Here is a 16,705-nt window from a genome sequence, read left to right as displayed (position 1 = left end):
TAAAAATACAAAAACTAGCCCGGCGTGATGCGGTGCGCCTGTAATCCCAGCTTCTTGAGAGGCTGAGGCACTAGAATCACTTGAACCTGGGAGGTGGAGGTTGCAGTGAGTCGAGATTGTGCCACTGCACTCCAGCCTGGGCAACAGAGGGAGACTCCATCTCAAAAAAAAGAAAAAAAGAAAAAAATGTACTTGGGAAAAAAAATACTTGGCCAGGCCTGGTGGCTCATACCTGTAATCCCAGCACTTTGGGAGGCTGAGGTGGGCAGATCACCTGAGGTCAGGAGTTCAAGACCAGCCTGGCCAACATGGTGAAACCCCGTTTGTACTAAAAATACAAAAAAAATTAGGTGTGGTGGGGCATACCTGTAATCCCAGCTACTTGGGAGGCCGAGGCAGGAGAATCGCTTGAACCCGGGAAGAGGAGGTTGTGGTAAGCCTCGCACCATTGCACTCCAGCCTGGGCGACAGAGCAAGACTTTCTGAAAAAGAAAAAAAAAACCCTGAATTTTTCTTTTCTTTTCTTTTTTTTTTTTTTTTTGAGAGGGAGTCTCACTCGCCCAGGCTGGAGTGCAGTGGCGCGATCTTGGCTCACTGCAAGCTCCGCCTCCCAGGTTCAAGCCATTCTCCTGCCTCAGCCTCCCAAGTAGCTGGGACTACAGGCGCCCGCCACCATGCCCGGCTAATTTTTTTTTTGTATTTTTAGTAGAGACGGGGTTTCACCGTGTTAGCCAGGATGGTCTTGAGCTCCTCACCTTGTGATCTGCCCGCCTCGGCCTCCCATAGTGCTGGGATTACAGGCGTGAGCCACCGTGCCTGGCCAAAAAACCCTGAATTTTTCTAAGTACATCAAGCGTTGTCACTGCAAAAACGAAAGGCAACTATATGAAGCAGTGGATATGTTAATTAGCTGGATTGTGGTAATCATTTCACTGTATATATAACATCGCTCCATGCTGTACACTTTGACAAGTAAACGTTGTATATATTACTTTAAAAATACTTAAAAAATAGAGACAAGGTCTCCTTGTGTCGCCCAGGCTGGTCTGGAACTCCTGGGCTCTCATGCTCTTCCTGCTCCATCCTAAAATAGGATATATGTAATTATACCTCACTGAAGGGGTGGCCTGCCCCTCCACACCTGTGGGTGTTTCTTGTCAGGTGGGACGAGAGACTGAGAAAAGAAAGAGACACAGAGACAAAGTACACAGAAAGAAAAGTGGGCTCAGGAGACCCGCGCCGGCCGGGTCTCTGAGTTCCTTCAGTATTTATTGGTCATTATCTCTACCATCTCGGAGACGGGGATGTGGCAGGACAATAGGGTAACAGTGGGGAGAGGGTCAGCAGGAAAACATGTGAGCAAATGTCTGTGTCATAAACAAGGTTAGGAAATGTGCTGTGCCTTGATGTGCTCATACATAAACATATCTGGTGCATTAAAGAGCAGTATTGCTGCCAGCATGTGTCACCTCCAGCCCTAAGGCGGTTTTCCCCTATCTCGGTGGATGGAACATACCATCGGGTTTTACACCGAGACATTCCATTGCCCAGGGACGAGCAGGAGACAGATACCTTCCTCTTAACTGCAAAAAGGCCTTCCTCTTATACTAATCCTCTTCAGCACAGACCCTTTACGGGTGTCGGGCTGGGGTACGGTCTGGTCTTTCCCTTCCCACGAGGCCTTATCTCAGGCTATCACATGGGGAGAAACTTTGGACAATACCTGGCTTTTCTAGGCAGAGGTCCCTGCAGCCTTCCGCAGTGTATTGTGTCCCTGGGTGCTTGAGATTAGAGAGTGGTGATGACTTTTAACAAGCATGCTGCCTTCAAGCATCTGTTTAACAAAGCACATCCTGCATAGCCCTAAACCCACGTGTGACACAGCACATGTTTCTGGGAGCACAGGGTTGGGGCTAGGGTTACAGGTTAACAGCATCTCAAGGCAGAAGAATTTTTCTTAGTACAGAACAAAATGGAGTCTCTTATGTCTATTTCTTTCTACATAGACACAGTAACAGTCTGATCTGTCCTCCTTTTCCCCACACGTCACAGCTGGGGAAAAAGATTTGCTGTTCCCTCCAAGGGTAAAGCTGTCCACCTCTATCAGCACCCGGGCTTGGCAAGTCACTTTTTCTGTTATTTATTTTCCAGGCTGCCTCTTCCCCCCGCCCCCCCAACCCAGACGGAGTCTCGCTCTGTCGCCCAGGCTGGAGTGCGGTGGCGCGATCTCCGCTCACTGCAAGCTCCGCCTCCCGGGTTCCCGCCATTCTCCTGCCTCAGCCTCCCGAGTAGCTGGGACTACAGGCGCCCGCCACCACGCCCGGCTAATTGTTTGTATTTTTAGTAGAGACGGGGTTTCACCGTGTTAGCCAGGATGGTCTCGATCTCCTGACCTCGTGATCCGCCTGCCTCGGCCTCCCAAAGTGCTGGGATTACAGGCGTGAGCCACCGCACCCGGCCATTAGTTACTTACTTTTGAGACAGGGCCTCACTCTGTCACCCAGGCTGGCGTGCAGTGGCTGGCTCACTGCAACCTCCAAATCGTAGGCTCAAACAATCCTCCTGTGTCAGCCTCCCAAGTATCTGGGACTACGGGTATGTTCCACCAGGCCTGGCTAAGTTTTTTTTTTTTGAGATAGAGTTTCGCTCTTGTTGCCCAGGCTGGAGTACAATGGCGCTATCTCAGCTCACTGCAACCTCCGCCTCCTGGGTTCAAGCGATTCTCCTGCCTCAGCCTCCCACGTACCTGGGATTACAGGTTCCTACCACTACACTTGGCTAGCTTTTGTATTTTTAGTAGAGATGGGGTTTCACCATGTGGGCCAGGCGGGTCTCAAACTCCTGACATCAGGCGATCCACCTGCCTCAGCCTCCCAAAGTGCTGGGATTCCAGGCCTGAGCCACCATACCCGGCCAGTACAGTTATATTTATATCTGTCCTCTTGCTATTTGTTTTCAATGTGTCATTCAGTGGTGGGCTGAAATGTTAAACAAGTGGCTCTGAGGGTTGGTGGCGAGGAAGTCTTGGTTTGTAGTGTTTGCTGATTTGTTTTTTTGTTTGTTTGAGACAGAGTCTTGTTCTTGTTGCCGAGGCTCGAGTGCAATGGCGTGATCTCAGATCATGCAACCTCCACCTCCCAGGTTCAAGTGTGATTCTCCTGTCTCGGCCTCCTGAGTAGCTGGGATTACAGGCACCCGCCTGTAATTTCTGTATTTTTAGTAGAGATGGGGTTTCGCCGTGTTGGTCAGGCTGGTCTTGAGCTCCCGACCTCAGGTTATCCACCCGCCTTGGCCTCCCAAAGTGCTGGGATTACAGGCGTGAGCCACCGCGCCCTGCCGTGTTTGCTGATTTCTGTGGCATAAACACTCCCCTTGTGATTTTGTACTATCAGTGTGAAATCACAGCCCATGGACGTTGGTATAGGTACATATAGGAAGCCCCCATTAGGCAGCACGGGCTGGCCCTAGCATACCACTGACCCTTCATTCTTTGTATTCTTTTTTTTTTTTTTTTTTTTTTTTTTGAGACGGAGTCTCGCTCTGTCGCCCAGGCTGGAGTGCAATGGTGAGATCTCTGCTCACTGCAAGCTCCACTTCCCGGGTTCACACCATTCTCCTGCCTCAGCCTCCCGAGTAGCTGGGACTACAGGTGCCCGCCACCACGCCCTGCTAATTTTTTGTATTTTTTTAGTAGAGGCAGGGGTTTCACTGTGTTAGCCAGGATGGTCTCGATCTCCTGATATCGTGATCCATCCGCCTCGGCCTCCCAAAGTGCTGGGATTACAGGCGTGAGCCACCGTGCCCAGCCTTTTGTTCGTTCTTTTTACCAAGTTAGCCAGGCTGGTCTCGAACTCCTGGCCGCAGGCGTGAGCCACCGTGCTGGGCCAGATTTTCAGTCTCTTAATTCAGTCTTTGGAATATTTTACCACTCACTGTACAGCAGGAACAGTCTTGTTCTTGGCACACAGGAAACTGTGGTTTCATTTAATGATGGTAACTCGTGAACTGTTTTTCCTTTTTTCCCCCCAGTTCTTCAGCCTTAACCTAAGGTCTCATACTCGGAGCACTATGACATCGCCCCAGCTAGAGTGGACTCTGCAGACCCTTCTGGAGCAGCTGAACGAGGATGAATTAAAGAGTTTCAAATCCCTTTTATGGGCTTTTCCCCTCGAAGACGTGCTACAGAAGACCCCATGGTCTGAGGTGGAAGAGGCTGATGGCAAGAAACTGGCAGAAATTCTGGTCAACACCTCCTCAGAAAATTGGATAAGGAATGCGACTGTGAACATCTTGGAAGAGATGAATCTCACGGAATTGTGTAAGATGGCAAAGGCTGAGATGATGGGTAAGTAGAACCTGGGGTGTCCTGGTCATTTTTTTTTTTTTTTTTTTTTTTTTGAGATGGAGTCTCGTTCTGTCGCCCAGGCTGGAGTGTAAGGCTGGAGTGCAGTGGCGAGATCTGGGCTCACTGCAACCTCCGCCTCTGGGTTCAAGTGATTCTCCTATCTCAGCCTCCGGAGTAGCTGGGATTACAGGCGTGTTTCACCACACCTGGCTAATTTTTTTTTTTTTGTATTTTTAGTAGAGATGGGGTTTTGCCATGTTGGCCAGGCTGGTCTTGATCTCCTGACCTTGTGATCCGCCCACCTCAGCCTTCCAAAGTGCTGTGATTACAGGCATGAGCCACCATGCCTGGCTGACACTTTATGTACAATAATGTCTGATTTACGAAGTGTAAATTACTGTGTCAGGCTTACATCTAAGTATTTTACAGAGGACGGACAGGTGCAAGAAATAGATAATCCTGAGCTGGGAGATGCAGAAGAAGACTCGGAGTTAGCAAAGCCAGGTGGGTAAATACGGTCCTATGGTCATGAGTTTGGTGTTTGAGAGCATGCAAGGTGCATCACTTCTTCCTGGTTTTATTCATTTCTGGTAGTTTTTTTTTTTTTTGAGACGGAATCTTGCTCTGTAGCCCAGGCTGGAGTGTAGTGGCTCCGTCTCTGCTCATTGCAACCTCTGCCTCCCGGGTTCAAGCAATTCTCTGCCTCAGCCTCCTGAGTAGCCGGGATTACAGGCGGCCGCCACTACCCCCAGCTAATGTTTTGTATTTTTAGTAGAGATGGGGTTTCACTATCTTGGCCAGGCTGGTCTTGAACTCCTGACCTCAAGTGATCCACCCACCTTGGCCTCCCAAAGTGCCGGGATTACAAGCATGAGACACCGTGCCTGGCCCTCATTTCTGGTACTTGACAAAATAATTCAGAAAATCATCATCATCAACCTCAACTGTCCTATGGGCTGTCACTGCAGGTGAAAAGGAAGGATGGAGAAATTCAATGGAGAAACAGTCTTTGGTCTGGAAGAACACCTTTTGGCAAGGAGACATTGACAATTTCCATGACGACGTCACTCTGAGAAACCAACGGTTCATTCCATTCTTGAATCCCAGAACACCCAGGAAGCTAACACCTTACACGGTGGTGCTGCACGGCCCCGCAGGCGTGGGGAAAACCACGCTGGCCAAAAAGTGTATGCTGGACTGGACAGACTGCAACCTCAGCCCGACGCTCAGATACGCGTTCTACCTCAGCTGCAAGGAGCTCAGCCGCATGGGCCCCTGCAGTTTTGCAGAGCTGATCTCCAAAGACTGGCCTGAATTGCAGGATGACATTCCAAGCATCCTAGCCCAAGCACAGAGAATCCTGTTCGTGGTCGATGGCCTTGATGAGCTGAAAGTCCCACCTGGGGCGCTGATCCAGGACATCTGCGGGGACTGGGAGAAGAAGAAGCCGGTGCCCGTCCTCCTGGGGAGTTTGCTGAAGAGGAAGATGTTACCCAGGGCAGCCTTGCTGGTCACCACGCGGCCCAGGGCACTGAGGGACCTCCAGCTCCTGGCGCAGCAGCCGATCTACGTAAGGGTGGAGGGCTTCCTGGAGGAGGACAGGAGGGCCTATTTCCTGAGACACTTTGGAGACGAGGACCAAGCCATGCGTGCCTTTGAGCTAATGAGGAGCAACGCGGCCCTGTTCCAGCTGGGCTCGGCCCCCGCGGTGTGCTGGATTGTGTGCACGACTCTGAAGCTGCAGATGGAGAAGGGGGAGGACCCGGTCCCCACCTGCCTCACCCGCACGGGGCTGTTCCTGCGTTTCCTCTGCAGCCGGTTCCCGCAGGGCGCACAGCTGCGGGGCGCGCTGCGGACGCTGAGCCTCCTGGCCGCGCAGGGCCTGTGGGCGCAGATGTCCGTGTTCCACCGAGAGGACCTGGAAAGGCTCGGGGTGCAGGAGTCCGACCTCCGTCTGTTCCTGGACGGAGACATCCTCCGCCAGGACAGAGTCTCCAAAGGCTGCTACTCCTTCATCCACCTCAGCTTCCAGCAGTTTCTCACTGCCCTGTTCTACGCCCTGGAGAAGGAGGAGGGGGAGGACAGGGACGGCCACGCCTGGGACATCGGGGACGTACAGAAGCTGCTTTCCGGAGAAGAAAGACTCAAGAACCCCGACCTGATTCAAGTAGGACACTTCTTATTCGGCCTCGCTAACGAGAAGAGAGCCAAGGAGTTGGAGGCCACTTTTGGCTGCCGGATGTCACCGGACATCAAACAGGAATTGCTGCAATGCAAAGCACATCTTCATGCAAATAAGCCCTTATCCGTGACCGACCTGAAGGAGGTCTTGGGCTGCCTGTATGAGTCTCAGGAGGAGGAGCTGGCGAAGGTGGTGGTGGCCCCGTTCAAGGAAATTTCTATTCACCTGACAAATACTTCTGAAGTGATGCATTGTTCCTTCAGCCTGAAGCATTGTCAAGACTTGCAGAAACTCTCACTGCAGGTAGCAAAGGGGGTGTTCCTGGAGAATTACATGGATTTTGAACTGGACATTGAATTTGAAAGGTAAGAACTGTTTTCCCATCCCACGCTCCACTAGGAAGAGGCCAGCGTCTCCTTTGCCCTGTCGCTTACTGTCAGAATTTCCCTCTGGCTGGACTTCTTTCCAGCTTCATGTTCAACGTGGAGACACGACTTGGCAATTAGGAATTGGGGCTTTTTATTTTTGAGACGGAGTCTCGCTCTGTCCCCCAGGCTGGAGTGCAGTGGCGCGATCTTGGCTCACTGCAACCTCCGCCTCCCGGGTTCAAGTGATTCTCCTGCCTCAGCCTCCCGAGTAGCTGGGACTATGGGCGTGCACCACCTTGCCCGGTTAATTATTTTATTTTTTTGTAGAGATGGGGGTCTCAGTTTCTAGCCCAAGTTGGTCTTAAACTCCTGGGCTCAAGTGATCTTCCCACTTTGGCCTAGCAAAGTGTTGGGATTACAGGCATGAGCCACCTCACTCAGCCTTATCTATTATTTTATTTTTTTTGTAAAACTTAAGATCTATACTGGTAGCAAAGCATGTGATGCAATATTGTTTACTATAGACACTGTTTTAGGTTGGTGCAAAAGTAATTGTGGTTTTTGCCATTGAAATGTGGTTTGCAGATGCCCATCTCACCATGCAGGTACTAGTCCTAAGAGATGAACGTGTGTTCTCCTGCAGGTGCACTTACCTAACCATTCCGAACTGGGCTCGGCAGGATCTTCGCTCTCTTCGCCTCTGGACAGATTTCTGCTCTCTCTTCAGCTCAAACAGCAACCTCAAGTTTCTGGAAGTGAAACAAAGCTTCCTGAGTGACTCTTCTGTGCGGATTCTTTGTGACCACGTAACCCGTAGCACCTGTCATCTGCAGAAAGTGGAGTAAGTAGAAGCTCATCTTGCAAGGAAGACCCTGAACGATGACTAAGCTTCTTGTACTTTTGTTTTTTAAATTTGGAAATGTGCTGTTTCATCTCCATGTATTTGGGGATTTTCCAGCTGTCTTTTTTTTTTTTTTTTTTTTTGGTGAGACGGAGATTTACTCTTGTTGCCCAGGCTGGAGTGCAATGGCGCGATCTCAGCTCACTGCATCCTCCACCTCCCAGGTTCAAGCAATTCTCCTGCCTCAGCCTCCCGAGTAGCTGGGATTACAGGCATGTGCCACCTTGCCCGGCTAATTTTGTACTTTTAGCACAGACAGGTTTTCACCGTGTTGCCCAGGCTGATCTCGAGCTCCTGACCTCAGGTGATTTGCCTGCCTCGGCCTTCCAAAGTGCTGGGATTATAGGCATGAGCCGCTGCACCTGGCCCCTTTTTTATTTTTTATTTTTTCTGAGACAGAGTTTCACTCTGTCACCTAGGCGCTGGAGTGCAATGACTTAATCTTGTGTTTTTAGTAGAGGTGGAATTTTCTCCATCTTGGCCAGGCTTGTCTCGAACTCCTGACCTAAGGTGATGCGCCTGCCTCGGTCTTCGAAAGTGCTGGGATTACAGGCATGAGCCACCATGCCTGGCCCCAGCTATCTTTTTTTTGGTTTGTTTTGTTACCAAAACAAACCAAAAAGTAGGTACAAGTACAGGTTAGTTACACAGGTAACCGTGTGTCATAGGAGTTTGTTGTACAGATTATTTTGTCACCCAAGTATTAAGCCTAGTACCCCTTAGTTGTTTTTCCTGATCCTCTGCTTCTTGACTTTTTTTTTTTTTTTTGAGACAGTCTCGCTATGTTCCCCAGGCTGGAGTGCAGTGCAGCAATCTCGGCTCACTGCAAGCCCTGCCTCCCGGGTTCATGCCATTCTCCTGCCTCAGCCTCCCGAGTAGCTGGGACTACAGGCGCCCGCCACCACGCCCGGCTAGTTTTTTGTAATTTTAGTAAAGACGGGGTTTCACCGTGTTAGCCAGGATGGTCTTGATCTCCTGACCTCGTGATCCACCCGCCTCGGCCTCGGCCTCCCAAAGTGCTGGGATTACAGGCGTGAGCCACCACACCCGGCGAATTTTTTTTTCTTTTGAGATGGAGTCTTGCTCTGTTGCCCAGGCTGGAGTGCAGTGGTGCGGTCTCGGCTCACTGCAACCTCTGCCTCCTGGATTCAAGTGATTCTCCTACCTCAGCCTCCCGAATACCTGGGACTACAAGCATGCCCCTCCATGTGCAGCTAATTTTTGTATTTTTAGTAGAGACGGGGCTTCCCCATGTTGGCCAGGCTGGTCTCGAACTCCTGACCTCAGGCGATCTGCCTGCCTCGGCCCCAGCTAATTTATTTTTTGTAGAGATGGAGTTTCACCATGTTGCCCAGGTTGGTCTCAGACTCCTGACCTCAGGTTATCCTCCTGCCTCAGCCTCCCAAAGTGCTGGGGTTACAGACACGAGCCACTGCACCCGGCCAAGAACTTCTAATAATTTCTAAATGTGAAACAGCTTTTTGTTTATACATGCCTCCACACAATGTGAGTATTAATCACTCCAAGTGGAATCTCTTCTGCTTTTCCCTAGGATTAAAAACGTCACCCCTGACACCGCGTACCGGGACTTCTGTCTTGCTTTCATTGGGAAGAAGACCCTCACGCACCTGACCCTGGCAGGGCACATCGAGTGGGAACGCACGATGATGCTGATGCTGTGTGACCTGCTCAGAAATCATAAATGCAACCTGCAGTACCTGAGGTGGGTCTCACGGTCACGGCTCTCCCCAGCACCTGGAGTCCACTGCACCGTGTTGCTGGGGGATCTAGGAAAAAGGGTAACCACTCCAGATGCCGTCCCAGACAGGGAATGTATTCCTCAAACAGGCCTGTGTGGGGGAGTCGGCCTCTCCTCTTTCCCCCACCAGCTTGTCTTCTGTGTTGCATAACCAGCTATCCATGCAAAGAAACACCCCGAATTCTGTGCTGGGTTCCAGCTTTAGGGACATGCTATTCCTGACTGCACCTTGCCTAATTGTTGGGATTGAGAGCAGTGGCCCCCAGCCTTTTCTGCACCGCGGGCCGGTTTTGCACAAGACAGTTTTTTCCACAGACGGGTTTGGGGGTAGTTTTGGGATGAAACTGTTCGATCTCAGATCAGGCACAGGAGCTAATCGTTGGTGCCTGATCCTATGGAGTGCATGATCCTCGCACTTTGGGAGCCTGAGGAGAATGGATCATCAATCTCAGATCATCAGGAGTTAGGTATTCATAAGGAGCATGCAACCTTCTCTGCACTCAATGAGAATCTTTTTTTTTTTTTTTTTTCTTTGAGACAGTTTTATTCTTGTCACCCAGGCTGGAGCGCAGTGGCGCGATCTCGTTCACTGCAACCTCCGCCTCCTGGGTTCAAGCAGTTCTGCCTCAGCTTCCCGAGTAGCTGGGGTTACAGGCGTGCACCACCACGCCTGGCAAATGTTTGTATTTTTAATAGAGACAGGGTTTCACCATGTTGGCCAGGCTGGTCTCGAACTCCTGACCTCAAGTGATCCGCCTGTCTCGGCCTCCCAAAGTGCTAGGATTACAGGCATGAACCACTGCGCCTGGCCAGGATAAAATTTTTATTTTGAGTATTAAGCATCAATTTGCCCCTTCTAGTCCCAGCTACAGTGGATGCTGAGGTGGGAGGATCATTTGAGCCCAGGAGACAGGTTGTGGTGACCTGTGATCATGCCACTGCACTCCAGCCTGGGCAACAGAGCGAGATCCTGTCTCAAAAAAAAAATTTTTTTTTCCCCCCTGCAAAATCATCCACACAGGCCGTTTTGGTGAAACATTGCACAGAATTGTATTACAATCTCTTGGAGAAGTGGCTGGATGTTACCCTAATGGCCATGGGGATACTTGAAGAAGCAGAGGCAACATTAGATCTCTCCAGTAATTCAGGCCAGGGTTGGAGGCATGAGTAGAATGAGATAAACCAAAGACATAATGTCTTGGGAAGTGAAGCAGAAGAAGCTGATCTGGGCCAGGCGCGGTGGCTCACACCTGTAATCCCAGTACTTCGGTAGGCCAAGGTGGGTGGATCACCTGAGGTCAGGAGTTCAAGACCAGTGTGGCCAACATGGTGAAATCCCGTCTCTACTAAAAATACAAAAATTGGCGAATGCCTGTAATCCCAGCTACTTCGGAGGCTGAGGCAGGAGAATAGCTTGAACCCGGGAGGCGGAGGCTGCAGTGAGGTGAGATCACGCCTTTGCATTCCAGACTGGGCAACAGAGTGAAACTCTGTCTCAAAAAAAAAAAGCTGATAGGGTATACTCTGTCCTCCCAGAAGAATGACTTTTCCCACTCTTTTCACAGGTTGGGAGGTCACTGTGCCACCCCGGAGCAGTGGGCTGAATTCTTCTATGTCCTCAAAGCCAACCAGTCCCTGAAGCACCTGCGTCTCTCAGCCAATGTGCTCCTGGATGAGGGTGCCATGTTGCTGTACAAGACCATGACACGCCCAAAACACTTCCTGCAGATGTTGTCGTAAGTCTCCTCTTCCCATGGGCAGCTCTGGTTTAGTTCTGGGGCTATAGAAGAGAAAGGGTAACACCTGACTTACTGCGCCACCCACGTGGCGCCTCTTGCTGAAATAAACACCTGCTTCAGGCCCGGCACGGTGGCTCCTGCCTGTAATCTCAGCAGAGAGGTGGGCGGATCATCTGAGTTCAGGAGTTCGAGACCAACCTGGCCAACATGGTGAAACCCTGTTTCTATTAAAAATACCAAAAACAGGCCGGGTGCGGTGGCTCATGCCTGTAATCCCAGCACGTTGGGAGGCCAAGGCGGGGAGATCACGAGGTCAAGAGATCGAGACCATCCTGGCTAACATGGTGAAACCCCGTCTCTACTAAAAAATACAAAAAATTATCCAGGTGTGGTGGGCGCCTGTAGTCCCAGCTACTCAGGAGGCTGAGTCAGCAGAATGGTGTAAACCTGGGAGGCGGCGATTGGCAGTGAACCGAGATCGCGCCACTGCACTCCAGCCTGGGCGACAGAGCGAGACTCCGTCTCAAAAACAACACCTGTGTCCTGTGATGGCTCCAGGTGGACCGCTGCATCTTGGCCTTCTCGCCTTCCTGCTCTTTTGTGGCCATGATGACTCCCACAGGACAGAGGGCAGGGGATGAACAGGAAGGGCTGAAGCTGAGTACCCTAGCATGTGGACATCACTGAGCAGGTTGGAGTTGTGGAAATGTTCTCATCCTTCTACCATTTGTTTCATATTTTTGCAGGTTGGAAAACTGTCGTCTTACAGAAGCCAGTTGCAAGGACCTTGCTGCTGTCTTGGTTGTCAGCAAGAAGCTGACACACCTGTGCTTGGCCAAGAACCCCATTGGGGATACAGGGGTGAAGTTTCTGTGTGAGGGCTTGAGTTACCCTGATTGTAAACTGCAGACCTTGGTGTAAGTCCCTGCTGGGTGTGTGTGTGTGTGCACATGAATTCAAGCAGGAGAGACATGAAAGTACTTGTTAATTCATTTCAAATGTAACTTTTAAAAACCTGGTAAGAATTAAAGAACAGGCAGAGGCCAGGCGTGGTGGCTCATGCCTGTAATCCCAGCACTTTGGGAGGCCGAGGCGGGTGGATCATGAGGTCAGGAGATGGAGACCATCCTGGTTAACATGGTGAAACCCTGTCTGTACTAAAAATACCAAAAATTAGCCAGGTGTGGTGGCGGATGCCTGTAGTCCCAGCTACTTGGGAGGATGAGACAGGAGAATGGCGTGAACCTGGAAGGCGGAGGTTGCAGTGAGCCGAGATCGCACCACTGCACTCCAGCCTGGGCGACAGAACAAGACTCCTTCTCAAAAAAACAAAGAAACAAAAAAAACCAGGCAGATACAGGTAGAAACATGTTAATATTTGCATGTCAGCAGAGCCTCTTCCTGCTATGAAGGAAGATTTGAGATGAGTAGTTGGTTCTCGGATCTGATGCTTTGTGTGTGTTCTTTCAAATTCCTATGACATAGTACTGCCTGCTATTGGAGGTAGATTGAGTTATGTGGTAGGGCCAGTGGCACCTTTTTTTAAACTTTTATTTCCATAGGTTATTGGGGAACAGGTGGTGAATGGTGGGCAGATCACCTAAGGTTCGAGACCAGCCTGGCCAACATGGTGAAAACCCATCGCTACTAAAAAATACAAAAATTAACCAGGCTTGGTGGTGCGTGCCTATAGTACCAGCTACTCAGAAGGCTGAGGTAGGAGAATCGCTTGAATCTGGGAGGCAGAGGCTGCAGTGAGCTGAGATGGCGCCACTGCACTCCAGCCCGGGCGACAGAGTGAGACTCCGTCTCAAGAAAAAAACAAAAAAAAACTCAACAAAAATCCTTATTTGTAAAAGACATAGGTGGCAGGTTGGAATTGACCCACGAACTATAGTTGGCTGAATCTTGTTATATGGAAAGAAGCCCAGCGTGAGCTACCTGTTCACATTAAAATTATGGTTAGAAAAATATTCAAGAGATTGCATAGGGTTGAAGACCTGTTCCTGTTCAGAAATTCTAGCTAGTGGTCATTTCTGAGATTCATTTTTTTTTTTTTGGATGAAGTCTCACTCTGTCGCCCAGACTGGAATGCAGTGGTGTAATCTTGGCTGACTGCAACTTCTGCCTCCCAGGTTCAAGCGATTCTCCTGCCTCAGCCTCCCAAGTAGCTGGGATTACAGGTGCCCTCCACCATGCCTGGCTAATTTTTGCACTTTTAGTGGAGATGAGGTTTCACCATGTTGGCCAGGCTGGTCTTGAACTCCTGGCCTTAAGTGATCTGCCTGCCTCGGCCTCCCAAAGTGCTGGCGTTCCAGGCATGAGCCACTGTGCCTGGCTTAGAATAACTATTGTTAAACAAACAGTCACCTACCTGATCGTTATACGAAGTGTACCTGCACCAAAACATCACACTATACCCCTATATATGTAGAATGTGTCAGTTAAAGACAAAACTTAAACATGAAATAAAATGACAGGGAAAGTGAAATTTCCATAATCTAACCACGCAGAAAATAAGTGACCCAGGGCTCAGATCCTGTCCTGGGTCGGTCTGAACCCAGAGCCTAAGCTGTTGTCCCAGGCAGAGCTGGAAATGGATGGAATCAGAAGGCCATTTGGATGTTTTTTTTTTTTTTTTAACAGTCTCTCTCTGTCACCAGGCTGGAGTGCAGTGGTGCGATCTTGGCTCACTGCAACCTCCGCTTCCTGGGTTCAAGTAATTCTCCTACCTCAGCCTCCTGAGTAGCTAGGATTACAGGCATGGGCCGCCACACCTGGCTAATTTTTTTTTTTTTTTGAGATGGAGTTTCGCTCTTGCCCAGGCTGGAGTGCAATGGTGCAATCTCTGCTCACCACAACCTCCGTCTCCCCAGTTCAAGAGATTCTCCTGCCTCAGCCTCCTGAGTAGCTGGGATTACAGGCATGTGCCACCACACCTGGCTAATTTTGTATTTTTAGTAGAGACGGGTTTCTCCATATTGCTTAGGCTGGTCTTGAACTCCCGACCTCAGGTGATCTGTCTGCCTCAGCCTCCCAAAGTGCTGAGATTACAGGTGTGAGCCATCGTGCCCAGCTAATTTTTGTATTTAGTAAAGATGGGGTTTCACCACTTTGGCCAGGCTGGTCTTGAACTCCTGATCTTGTGATTCACCCACCTTGGTCTCCCAAAGTGCTGAGATTACAGGTTTGAGCCACCGCGCCCGGCCCGATTTTTGTATTTTTTAGTAGAGATGGGGTTTCACCATGTTGGCCAGGCTGGTCTTGAACTCCTGACCTCAAATGATCTGCCCGTCTTGGCCTCCCACTGCTGTGATTATAGGCGTGAGCCACTGTGCCCGGCCCATTTGCATGCTTTTATGTGCAAGCCCACCTGGAAGTATATAGCTCCAGTTCATGGGTCAATTCCTACCTGCCACCTATGTTTTATATAAATACTTTTTGTTGTTGTTGTTGTTTTCTTGAGACGGAGTCTCGCTCTGTCGCCCGGGCTGGAGTGCAGTGGCGCGATCTCAGCTCACTGCAGCCTCTGCCTCCCGGATTCAAGCGATTCTCCTGCCTCAGTCTTCTGAGTAGCTGGCACTACAGGCGTGCACCACCAAGTCTGGTTATATAGGTGGCGGGCACCTATAATCCCAGCTACTTGGGAGGCTGAGGCAGAAGAATCGCTTGAACCTGGGAGGCAGAGGTTGCAGTGAGCCAAGAGTGCAGCACTGCATTCCAGTATATAAGTGGAAGGTATATAGTGTTGGAAATAACTGCTTCACAGGGCGTTAGCCAGAGGGATAACAGGCTTCTCTTCCTTTGATTATCCTGTAGGTTACAGCAATGCAGCATAACCAAGCTTGGCTGTAGATATCTCTCAGAGGCGCTCCAAGAAGCCTGCAGCCTCACAAACCTGGACTTGAGTATCAACCAGATAGCTCGTGGATTGTGGATTCTCTGTCAGGCATTAGAGAATCCAAACTGTAACCTAAAACACCTACGGTAGGCGATTTTCTTTTTCTTCTTTCTTTCTTTTTTTGAGACAGGGTCTTGCTCTGTCCCCCAGCCTGGAGTGCAGTGGGGTGATTACGGCTCACTGCGGCTTCGGTCTTCCAGGCTTGATCGGTTCTCCCACCTCAGCCTCCTGAGTAGCTGGCTCTACAGGCATGTATTACCATGGCCAGGTAACTGTTTTCTGTAGAGATGAGGTCTTGTCATCTTTCCCGGGCTGGTTTTGAATTCTGGTGCTCAAGGAATCCTCCCACCTCGGCCTCCCAATGTGCTAGGATTACAGGCATGAGCCATCATGCCTGGCCTCATTTTTAAAGTGTTTGGAAATCTGGAAATCCTTAATTTCTATGTTTTCTTTTTTTTTTTTTTTTTTTGAGACGGAGCCTCGTTCTAGTTGCCCAGGCTGGAGTGCAGTGGCGCGATCTCGGCTTACTGCAACCTCTTCCTCCCGGGTTCTCGCTATTCTCCTGCCTCAGCCTCCTGAGTAGCTGGGACTACAGATGCCCGCCACCGTGCCTGGCTAATTTTTTTTGTATTTTTAGTAGAGATGGGTTTCACAGTGTTAGCCAGGATGGTCTCGATCTCCTGACCTCATGATCTGCCCGCCTTGGCCTTCCAAAGTGCTGGGATTACAGGCGTGAGCCACCACGCCCGGCCAATTTCTATGTTTTCAATATCTCAGACTGTATCACTTCGGATCCAGTTTTAAGATCAAACCCCTCCAGAAACTGAATATATGTGGGTGGGCACTTCTAAAGTCAGGTAGAGGGCCTGGAGAAGTGAAATATATATAACAATGGCCCCCAGTGACCTGGACTTCAGCAGCATGCTGCTTCTGCTGGGATCCAGTAATCAGGAAGCAGTGAGCCTGCCCCACCTCATAAACCCAGGGAACCATAGGTGGGATACCACCCCCAGAAAATGCAAAGTCTCCACAAATGGAATGGCGAGCTCTTCATCACTTCTCTCCCCAAAGTTTGTCAGTTGCATCTCTTGGATGCAACCTATTTTCCAACTAGAATCTGCAATCCTAATGCAAAGAGAATCTGCACGTCATTACTACTTAGCTTTGCTGTAGAGTAAAGAAAAAAAACACTAGAACACAGGGTACTTTTTTTCTTTTTTCAGACAGAGTCTCGCTTTGTCACCCAGGCTGGAGTGCAGTGGTGCGATCTTGGCTCACTGCAACCTCAGCCTCCAAGGTTCAAGCGATTCTCCTGATTGAGCTGAGTAGTTGGGATTACAGGCGTGCACCACCATACCCAGCTAATTTTTGTATTTTTAGTAGAGACCAGGTTTCACCATGTTAGCCAGACTGGTCTCAAACTCCTGACCTCAAGTGATCCACCTGCCTCAACCTCCCAAAGTGCTGGGATTACAGGCATGAGCCACCATTCCTGGCCTCCTGAAGTTTC

The 16,705-nt window shown here is 50.0% G+C and overlaps 2 protein-coding genes across 6 annotated transcripts in view, besides 1 other annotated feature; one reads left to right on the top strand and one right to left on the bottom strand.

Moving 5' to 3' along the window:
* Nucleotides 1-16,705, top strand: part of NLRP7 (NLR family pyrin domain containing 7) — a 42,729-nt gene that overhangs the window by 20,464 nt on the left and 5,560 nt on the right. For 3 of the 5 annotated variants that reach the window (NM_001405531.1, NM_206828.4, NM_001127255.2), the window contains 8 exons: nt 4,030-4,345; nt 4,775-4,849; nt 5,314-6,892; nt 7,539-7,736; nt 9,349-9,519; nt 11,121-11,291; nt 12,041-12,211; nt 15,114-15,281. In NM_001405531.1, coding sequence (NP_001392460.1) covers nt 4,069-4,345; nt 4,775-4,849; nt 5,314-6,892; nt 7,539-7,736; nt 9,349-9,519; nt 11,121-11,291; nt 12,041-12,211; nt 15,114-15,281 — 2,810 coding nt within the window. In that variant the 5' untranslated portion in view covers nt 4,030-4,068. Of the gene's footprint in view, nt 1-4,029; nt 4,346-4,774; nt 4,850-5,313; nt 6,893-7,538; nt 7,737-9,348; nt 9,520-11,120; nt 11,292-12,040; nt 12,212-15,113; nt 15,282-16,705 lie in introns of those variants that run through there. The other 2 variants (NM_139176.4, XM_047438386.1) reach the window with 2 other exon arrangements.
* Nucleotides 5,934-6,643: an enhancer, noted in NCBI's record as "H3K4me1 hESC enhancer chr19:55450505-55451214 (GRCh37/hg19 assembly coordinates)". NCBI's record gives its function as "activates a minimal SCP1, AML or CMV promoter by ChIP-STARR-seq in naive H9 embryonic stem cells {active_cell/tissue: H9 hESC(naive)}" and the evidence as "EXISTENCE:reporter gene assay evidence [ECO:0000049][PMID:30033119]".
* Nucleotides 7,572-16,705, bottom strand: part of NCR1 (natural cytotoxicity triggering receptor 1) — a 40,011-nt gene continuing 30,877 nt past the window's right edge. The window contains exon 6 of the mRNA XM_011527530.4: nt 7,572-7,644. Coding sequence (XP_011525832.1) covers nt 7,637-7,644 — 8 coding nt within the window. The 3' untranslated portion in view covers nt 7,572-7,636. The remainder of the gene's footprint in view (nt 7,645-16,705) is intronic.

Source organism: Homo sapiens, chromosome 19, assembly GCF_000001405.40.
Source record: "Homo sapiens chromosome 19, GRCh38.p14 Primary Assembly".
NCBI classification, from domain to species: Eukaryota; Metazoa; Chordata; class Mammalia; order Primates; family Hominidae; genus Homo; species Homo sapiens.
Note: the sequence above shows the minus strand (reverse complement) of the source record. Positions and strands in the feature narration are given on the sequence as shown.